This window comes from Homo sapiens, chromosome 6 (genome assembly GCF_000001405.40).
Source record: "Homo sapiens chromosome 6, GRCh38.p14 Primary Assembly".
In the NCBI taxonomy this organism is placed as follows: domain Eukaryota; kingdom Metazoa; phylum Chordata; class Mammalia; order Primates; family Hominidae; genus Homo; species Homo sapiens.
Genome location: NC_000006.12, coordinates 103,534,569 through 103,543,887, shown reverse-complemented (window position 1 = coordinate 103,543,887; position 9,319 = coordinate 103,534,569). Strand labels below are relative to the sequence as shown.

General features: G+C 34.9%; 1 long non-coding RNA gene across 3 annotated transcripts; it reads right to left on the bottom strand.

Annotated features, from left to right (window-relative positions):
- Positions 1 to 3,058: 3,058 nt before the first annotated feature.
- Positions 3,059 to 8,839, bottom strand: LOC105377916 (uncharacterized). Of its 3 annotated transcripts, none has more exons than XR_942824.4 (3): positions 8,613 to 8,839; positions 4,367 to 4,506; positions 3,059 to 3,247 (listed from the first exon to the last, which is right to left on the bottom strand). It is a non-coding gene; the product is annotated as an uncharacterized LOC105377916 (long non-coding RNA). The 3 variants fall into 3 exon arrangements; XR_942825.4 differs by having other exon boundaries at positions 4,367 to 4,503; XR_942826.4 differs by having other exon boundaries at positions 4,367 to 4,503; positions 8,735 to 8,839.

The window sequence follows — 9,319 nt, the reverse complement described above, 5'->3', positions numbered from 1 at the left end:
GAGCAAAGTATGAGGCAAATTGAATTTGCATGCATATGGTGTATATACACAAAATGATTCAGAATATTGGATATCATTACCCAATCATTACACTCATAGACCATAATAAGGAACAAGAGTAATTTGCCACATAAAAGACATTAACAGAATGGAAATTTTTACAGACATACAATTTATATCCTAAGCCCTAACATGGCCCTGAATGCCAAAATTGATATAGGTAAGAAAATAAAGGCAAAGGAAACATTTCTTTCAGCATCTGAAGAATATCTCTATAGGGAGTAAATTTAACGAGGTTGGATATTATCTAGATTTCTTCAAAAGTACTATTTTTTTTTCGTTCTTAAACATTGGGATATCTTACCAAGTAATTCAGAAGTTAAGAACACATTTTAGAAATTAGATAGCTGAGGTTTGAATTGTGGATTTACTATTTCCAAATTATATTACCTTGCATGCGTTTCTTAAGCTTAGTCTTTGCTTTTCTTACCCAATATAAACCATAAATCGCCTATCTCATGGGAATGTTTTCAATATTAAATATTATAATCATAAATATATTAATATAATGTCTGCATATATATTATGTGTGTATATATATTTAATGAGTGTTCAGTTTGCATTACCCCTTAGTTTTTCAATAGAAACAAACAGAAACTCAGTCCTATCCCTTTTCAGATGCTTTATAAAACAACGAATTACCACCATAAAGATAAATGGCAAATTGGTTTATTTTGCATGTGATAATTCGTTGAGTTCTTGAAATTAAATGTAAGTGAGATTTTCTGTCACTATAATCTTTCAATTTAATATGTACATGCATATGTATTTGTATATGTGGTTGAATCACATATATGGTTTTTCACTTTTAATGTGTTCATTGGAATGGAAGCTGAGGTAGGAGACTCAGAAATCATAGTAGTAAGAAGAATTAGATGTTAGATATGAATATGAAAGTGATGTTTTATAGAGAGAGATGGTTTGAACAAACATTGGGATTTAGGTTTCAGTCATATTGTTACTGTTTCTACAGTAACAAAATTTTGATGAAATTCTGTGATACTATGATACTAGCTAAATGCAAACTAACTTTATATTTCCCCCAAAGCACTTTATTTTTAACCATCTAAGTAGGGATATTGAGGAGGTAGGGAGATATAAGACTGAAGTAGAAATGAGAGGCCCTGGCTAGATATTCAAATAATTTGAAGTCTTACCCTTCAAATATATGGGATAATATTTAAAAAGCACAAACCATGGGAGTGAGGACTGACAGAACAAGTCAAGCCCTGAGCACCAAGACCTCTCACATTGTGGTCACACTAAGATGAACTGACAAAAGAGATTGAGAATAAATAACGTTAGGAGAAAAAGCAGAAAAGTATGATATCCGGAAAGTGAAGTGAAGAAAGAAGAACAGGAAGAAGTGGTCAAATATGCTATGTGCTGCTGAGAGCATTAGGACAAATACCTAATGCATTCAGGGCTTAAAACCTAGATGACGGGTTGATAGGTGCGGCAAACCACCATGGCACATGTATACCTATGTAACAAACCTACATGTTCAGCATATGTATCCCAGAACTTAAAGTAAAAAAAAATAAAAAAAAAGAAACAGAAAAGCCTAATTAATGTGGTTTAAAGAGAAAACAGGAGAAGAGTTAAATTCAGTAATACAGAAACCATTGTTGAAGTATGTAAGACAAAAGATATAAATTTGAGTGCAGCTGGAAGGGGATGTGGCAGCTAAAATCGCTGTGTGATTTTCTTGCTGTTGCTTTGTATTTTGTTGGTTTGTTTTGCAGTTGATAGAAATGATGCAGCAGAAAAAGAAAAATGGATGAGTTGGGGTAACGAAAGAGGATGGCTTGAGCTATGTTTTTTCAATAGATAATAAGATGTAAGATCTATTGCACAACTGAAAGTGTTGGCCTTAAAGATGGGCATGGACAATTAATCTATATACTACAGCAGTATTCCAAGAAATAACAGAGAATATGTTTCTAGAATCTGAGAAATGCCTAGATACAGTGGAGGTAGATAATTAACATTCTTTTCTTTTTAATTTGTTTCTGTAATTTTTATTTTTTTGTAGAGATGGGCTCTCACTACATTGCCTAGGCTGGTCTTGAACTCCTGGCATCGAGAGATCCTGGCATCCCAAAAACTGGGATTACAGGCATGAGCCACCATGCCCAACCTAATATCCTTTTTAAGATGATCTCAATGTTCTAATTAGATTAAGAATCAAAGTCATCACCTGAGAATCAGAATAAGCCGGAAGGTTTTGTCTGAGGACAGAAGAAAATGTTTTATATAATAGTCTAGAACAAGAGTCAGCCAACTATAGGCCCTAGCCATATCCAGGCTGTTGCCTATTTTTGTAAATGAAGTTTTATTGGCACACAGCCATTCCCCTCCTTTGTATATTGTCTATGGCTGAGTATAGTTGTCATGACACAGAATATATGGCATATGAAAATATTCACTATCTGGTCTTTTACAGAAAAAGTTTGCTGACCCCTGGTCTAAAAACCTAAATAGAGAATGAACCAAAGTAACCAACAACAAGGTTTTTCTTTAATTCAAAGTGAGTATGGTGTGCACATTTGCAAATTTTTCTCCAAAATCATCTCTCTTTACAAGCAAATGTACCTAATAAAGGGAAAATTGAATTCAGCCAGAATTACATTTATGCAAAATAAGTACAGTAAAGAAAGAGAAAGACAAGGAGGAACCAAATGATTCACCATGTTAATACTCCATATGTGTTACATGAGAGCATACATTTGGTAGTAATTCATCAATATGTACATATACTGTTTGTATGTTCCAGCTGTAGTTCAGAAAGAAGTTAAAAATGACTAAACGTGGAGTTTAAACTGGCAAAAGAGGGCAAGGAAGAAATCACAGTGATAAGAGACTGTATGATCAATAGGTCTAGGACACAGCTGGGTTGAAATTGATTGTGTACTAAAAGAAATGTGTTGGGAAGATAGGAGGTGGAAGATAGTGTGTGTTTAGTTTTCTAAGGCTGCCAAAATAAAATACTGCAGACTGGATGGCTAAAACACCAGAAATTTATTTCCTCACAGTTATCCAGGGTAGCAGTCCAAGATCAAGTTGTCAGCAGTGTTGGTTTCATTGAGACCTCTCTCCTTCACTTGTGGATGGCTTGGATGGCTGAATTTCTCCCTCTGTTGTCACAGATCTTTCCACTGTGCACACGTCTGTGTTTAAATCTCCTCTTTTTAAAAGTACACCAGTCATAATGAATTAAGACCCACCCATAAGACTTCATTTTACCTTAGTTACCTTTGTAGAGGTCCTGTTTCCAAATATAGTCACATACATATGAGTTTGGAGGGTGGAGAGGATACAGTTCAGCCCACAACAATGCAAGATGCTTACAATTAATATTGGAGGAAAATTACTAAATAATAGCCAGGTGTAGGGCATAACTATGAAAGAAAATAGCTGAAGTAGTGTGCAGAGCAAGATTGTTGAAAAAGAAGGGTTCAAGGAATGATTCTCTTTGTGCATAATGAAATCAATGATAATTAATACAAGGGCTGTACTGGAAGAAGTGACAGTAAAAAGGAAGCCAGCACACAATTGGGAATGATCCGTGGGTGTAGAAGAAAGTACCAAATATAGTATTATGAACCAGTGAGGTGTAGTGATATGGACCATGCAATTTAATGTTGTTTGTGATAGAAAGGAAATAAAGAATAACCTGAAAGCAACAAGGGAAAGCAAAGAGGACACTTAAACCCCAACTCCAGGACCATTAATATATGAACTGTTGTTGAAAAATGGGCCACCAATTGAGAAGACTATGGTGGGAAGATTCAGGGAAGAGTCATTAGCCAAAGATTATGGGGAGAGTCAGAGAAGTGGTTGAAGATTTCATGCTGTTAAGAGATTGTGGAAGTATTATAGTAATATCGTAATATTATATGTGTGTACATACACACATATAATCAATTTGTATGTGTCAGCCAGAAAGGACACCTTCCCTAAAATCTTGCGTGTATCCCTTTTGTAATTAAGTAATATATAGTTACAGAGCTTCAAGAAGAATATCAACCATTGTGTAGTTTTACAGCTCCAGAAAATATTGAGGTAAGTTGACATATATTGACATTTTTCTATGAAAGTCTGTCGTGGCTTTTTATGTCTTCTCACTCTTCCGTTATGCTCCTATTACTTCCCATGCATGCCAACCCCCTCCTAATATGCTATCAATTGTAGATTACCTCTTCACTTTTGAAATTTCAGGGGAAAAAAAAAAGACAGTTAAAAATGAAGAACAAATGACCATATCTTAAAATGTAAACAAATTCCAAAGAAATTCAGAACTGACCTGGGCCTTCTCATAAGAAGTAAAGTTCAAAATTGTGGCAGCATATCTCATTTTGTCAAGTACTTTAACTTTTTCTTCTCTTTATTGAGTCATTTTCATATCTTGGTTGGTTGAGTTTGCTATTTGACCCGTGGGTCCTACTGAACCAAAATCAATAAATTCATAATTTAATAAAAGTGTTCTGAAAATAGCATGAGTAAAGTCAAATAGCTCATTTAAAATCAAAGCCAACTATTCCTTATACAATTTGTATAAAACACAGTAAAAAAGAGAAAAACAGAAATGAATCAAAGGAGAAAATTCAAAATTATTAAAAATTATAATTCATATTTCAGTTAAAATTTTCCTCAGGCAACAATATGGATAATATATCCATATCACATCTCTTCATAGAGGCTTTTAAGGCTATAAATTATACCTTATATAAAATTATATTATTTGAGAAGACCAAGAATATTTTCCTTTTCATTCTAATATCCTCCATTATAAAAAATGTTTATAATAGAAAATATATGTTTTAAAATTAAAATTGATAATGCATTTTAAGAGTACAATCCGTAACTTTTTAGAGTTTATTTTAAAACACAATTATTTGACATGCAATAAGGAGAAATTGGGTAAAGGCCACAAGATACAAATTCTCAACAAAATTTTAACTTCATGAGTAAATAAAGTAACTTCATTTACAAATGACGTTGTACCTTTCAACTTAGTAACTAGCACTCTAGAATTATTTTGCCCTTTGTTTATTCTCTTCACATGAATCACATGAAACTCAAATTTGCTCAATCACATGAAATTCAATTTTTGCTCAATTTTCTTCTGTTTTCATGTCTTAACAGAGAAGCAGGCAGCCTTGTGAAAGTGTAGATGTTCTCAGAATAATCATGTTCCAGAGATGTAGAGAATGGAGAATCTCAGTGGATTTGAAACATAGTCTAAAATTGGATCCGAAATTTTTTTCACACATTTTAGTCCCCTGAAGTAGAAGCTTAAAGGATTGAGAATAAATCCACTTGTCTGCTATCCTATTAAAATGGCAGCATTCCTGCTGTGCTAAAATAGATAGTATGCTTTGCTAAGCTGAAAAACTAATTCTGTTTGTTTTGTTTTAAGAAAAGCACTTGAAGTCAGGATATAGTGCTCTACTTTTATACACACGAAAATAGCATATTGCAATTAGAAGATAAAAATGTAAACAATAATTAATGGGTTTTGGTGTAAACCATATCGTATATTTCATTTATTTTTTTCTGTTTCTTGCACAAGATGTATCTGATTCATGTCTACTCTTATGTTTAGTTTCTCAATTTTATTTTTTTCTCCTCTTGAATTTTTTTTCTAGTTTTGGATGAATTTTAGCAAAAATTATAACACCTTTACTTTTAGTTTTGCCAAAATCTGTTAAAACTTAAAACTATGTATATCTGCATGCATAACTCTATCAAACTTTTTTCTGTCCTTAAGTCATCAGAAAATTATTAACCATATATATAACTAATATATATGTTATAAAGATCTGCTTGCCCTTTTTATTTCCTTAAGAGCTTTGACATGTGAATATTCTTAAATGGTATCTAAATAGAGGATGTTTACAAAAAATCTATTTATCAATAAACTTTCAGCTATTTAGAGAGGTTTTTCTCTGCCAATCAAAATAGATGGGTAGAATGAAGGCTGTGTTAACAGAAACACAGCATGCTTAATTCCTTTGCCTTGACTCTTTCTGGCCATGATTTTTACTCAGTTTACATAATAAGTTGTATAATTTATGCTGCTATAACCATTTGTCAGCCTTTTACAAGTGCATATATTTTGTCTTTTCCATTAATGCATGTAATTGAAGACAGTCTATGTGTTACTTTTTGTACCACAGAGGCATTCAATAAATAAAGCTGACTCTACATTTACATTTACATTTTAAACTTGCCTCTTAAAATAACTTCTAAATTATTTTCATTGTTAAAATTTATAATAATACCTCTTAGGTAATTACAAAATCTGAAGTTATCTGATAAGTAAAACCATGACCATGAAGGAGAGTATGCTGAGGAAAAGTCATTCCTCTGCATTACTCTCCACTATTACTAATACTGCTAATGAAGATATTTTATACCAATTAAAAATAATTTTAAACAAAACTGTGGTACTTAGAAGAAAAAAGATAATGCTTTTCTGAGACAAACCTGACTGTAGGAGTGCCTCTGGATACTGTATATTATAGTAGGTAGCTAGCTAGGCATGTGCAAGGCAGGAGAGAGTTCCTCTCACCCCACCAGCAGTGTCAGGCGACCATCAGGTGATGGTCTGGCAGTAGTTAACTGTCTCTCTAAAATAATAGTGGGTCACAGCCAGCTAGGGAAAGGTAGTCTTACTATAAATAGAAAAAAATGAGACTGGTAATCAGCAGCTTCTCAAAAAGATCTCAGGAATGAGTGAATGGGCTCACACATGCACACTAAAAGGCAAAATGGCTGAATTTAAATGGTGCATGACCTCCTAGGGACATCAGCTGGTAAGGAAGAATGCCTCAAGTGAGTATTCCTACAACTCTAGTAAACACACTGCACGTGCTCTCCTCCCAAGTGCTAACAGGCCACTGAGCATGCAGACAGCCCACCCCAAGGGAAGAATCAGGGGAAAAGGAACACAAGACCCTGGAAGTATGCCAACATACAAAACTCCATGTCAAAAGGTCAAACCGTGCAGTTGCCTTTCAAGTCACCCGCTTCGCCCTCTTCCAAGTGTACTTTATTTTCTTTTCATTCCTCTCTAAAGCTTTTTAACAAATTTTCACTCCTGCTCCTATACTTAACTTGGTCTCTTCTTCTGCCATATAACCCTCAGTCATATCCCTCAGTCATATTCTTTCTTCTAAAGGGGGAAGAATTGAGGTTGCTGCAGACCCTTGCGGATTTGCTGTCAGTAACATGTAAACACTAGTAATACCAAGTATTAGACATACGATTGAACTGCATGATTTTATGTCTTTTAGGTTTTCCTAATAATAACATTTTTGTGGTTCCAAATGTGTTTGAAATCATTTTAAGTGGATATTTCTTGTGTTTTAAGTGAAAACTTCCCCTTTATACTCTGAAGGTTTTCTTAAAACTCAACTGACGAAAAGCTGATTAATAGGAGAAAAGACACAAATTTATTGATGTGCAGAGAGAAAATCACAGAGTGATTATTCAATTACCCAGTGAGGTACAGAGGATTATGTGCTTTTCTCCAGAGGGGAGAGGGAAGATGAGAAATGCAGACATTTCTTTTGAGAGACAGTAAATCACTGGGAAGAATAAATGGATCTAGGAGGCAGAAGGCAGACATTATGGGAAGGTGATGGGTGGAGCTGCTCATGAAAAAAGATTGTTTTATTATAAAGATAAAATCCCCCAGGTAATCATGTGGAGCTACCCTTGGAAGAACAGGTAAAAAGTCTATCTGGGCATGGTGACAGACCACTGGTCTCTTCTCTTTTCTGGGGATTGATCTTTCCTGGTTATTTGGTGAGATTCCTAGGGAGGGAGAGTTAAGACAATCGCATTTAAGCTTTCTTAGTCAGATAAGGAAACTCCAGAGAGAGTCCCCACTGACGCTTTTGGAAAGAGGATCAGAAAAACAGAGGGAAGAGGGAAAAATCAGAGAGAAACCATGGTTCTGAGACTTATTTCTGAGGCCTTTCTATTTTCAAAGCACTTAGCATGCTGAAGCGCCATATTCTGGGGAAAAGTTTTCTGTAGCCCTGTAATTCCTACCTATAGAATCTGATACCTATAGGGATTTATCATAACTGCTTGTTTTCCAGTGTTTCTGGAACCTAAGTAATACTCACAAGCCAAATGTCAATCTTACAATATGTTTATGACACATAGTATATAAATAATGTACACAATATATTATCTATAAAATCATTTAAATTTTACAAATATAGTAAAAATATTGAAAAGTCTTCTCTGAACTAATGACTTCTCTTGGGTCATGTAAAAAATATTTTATTAACAATTCTTTTTATGTTTAGATATTTTTGTGAACCCTGCAACCTGAGTCAATTATATAAATAGCAGTAATTTCTTGGGTATGGAAACTTCTGAATATAGGTAAACGTAGGTAAACGTAGTCACGCCAGAAATCAACTATATGTCATATTCACTTATTCTATGTCATCCAAATACTTCACTCAAGAGTCAGAAAGGATACAATTACTCCATATAGTTAAACTTAAGTGAAGGAAAGTTATAGCCACCTGAGAGATAATGTCTCCTCACTTCTGACCCCACCAACTGAAAATGTATCTCCAAGAGTAAACAGACATAAATTATAGTTGGTACACGGCAGAGGCACCTGACAACTATAACTGAAGCATACCCTGAGAATGACCCTATGGTCTAAGAAGAATGTGTGTTTGGAGTCCTGAGCTAAGGGATCCAGGAGTAGACAACCCAGAGTTTCACTCCTTGTCTATGAAGGACATCTGAATCCCCAGCCATTCCCTTGGAATGCAGGCCATACAAGGGATCCAGGCCCTTTGTTTTGCGTTAAATGGAGATTGCTAGGTGAAGGTTGCTAGGTGGAGGGTGCTAAGTGAAATTGCTATATAAACTGCATGTGTTTTACAAATGGTGGTGGTTCTCTGGTACAGTCTGCTCCTCCTGGATTGTCCCTGTATGTAAGTTCCTTCAATAAATCCTATGTCTCTTTTGCTATCTCCAGTTTCCTTTTTCAGCCTCCAGGGCACACTGTCATCCTTAGTGGAGTCAATAGGGGTCTGGCACAACAATTAGTTAGAGTGGGATTAAATGTGGAGCAGTTTTGTTTCAGGGTGAGACATGGCTCAAAAACTTTGCGCTTTAGAGAGGGGAAGGGGAGGTCTAGTTTGGAATGGAGTATGGGGAAACTGACTAGGTTGTTTTAATGGTGCCAGAGGGGGACAGGCAGTGAAGGTCTACAAAA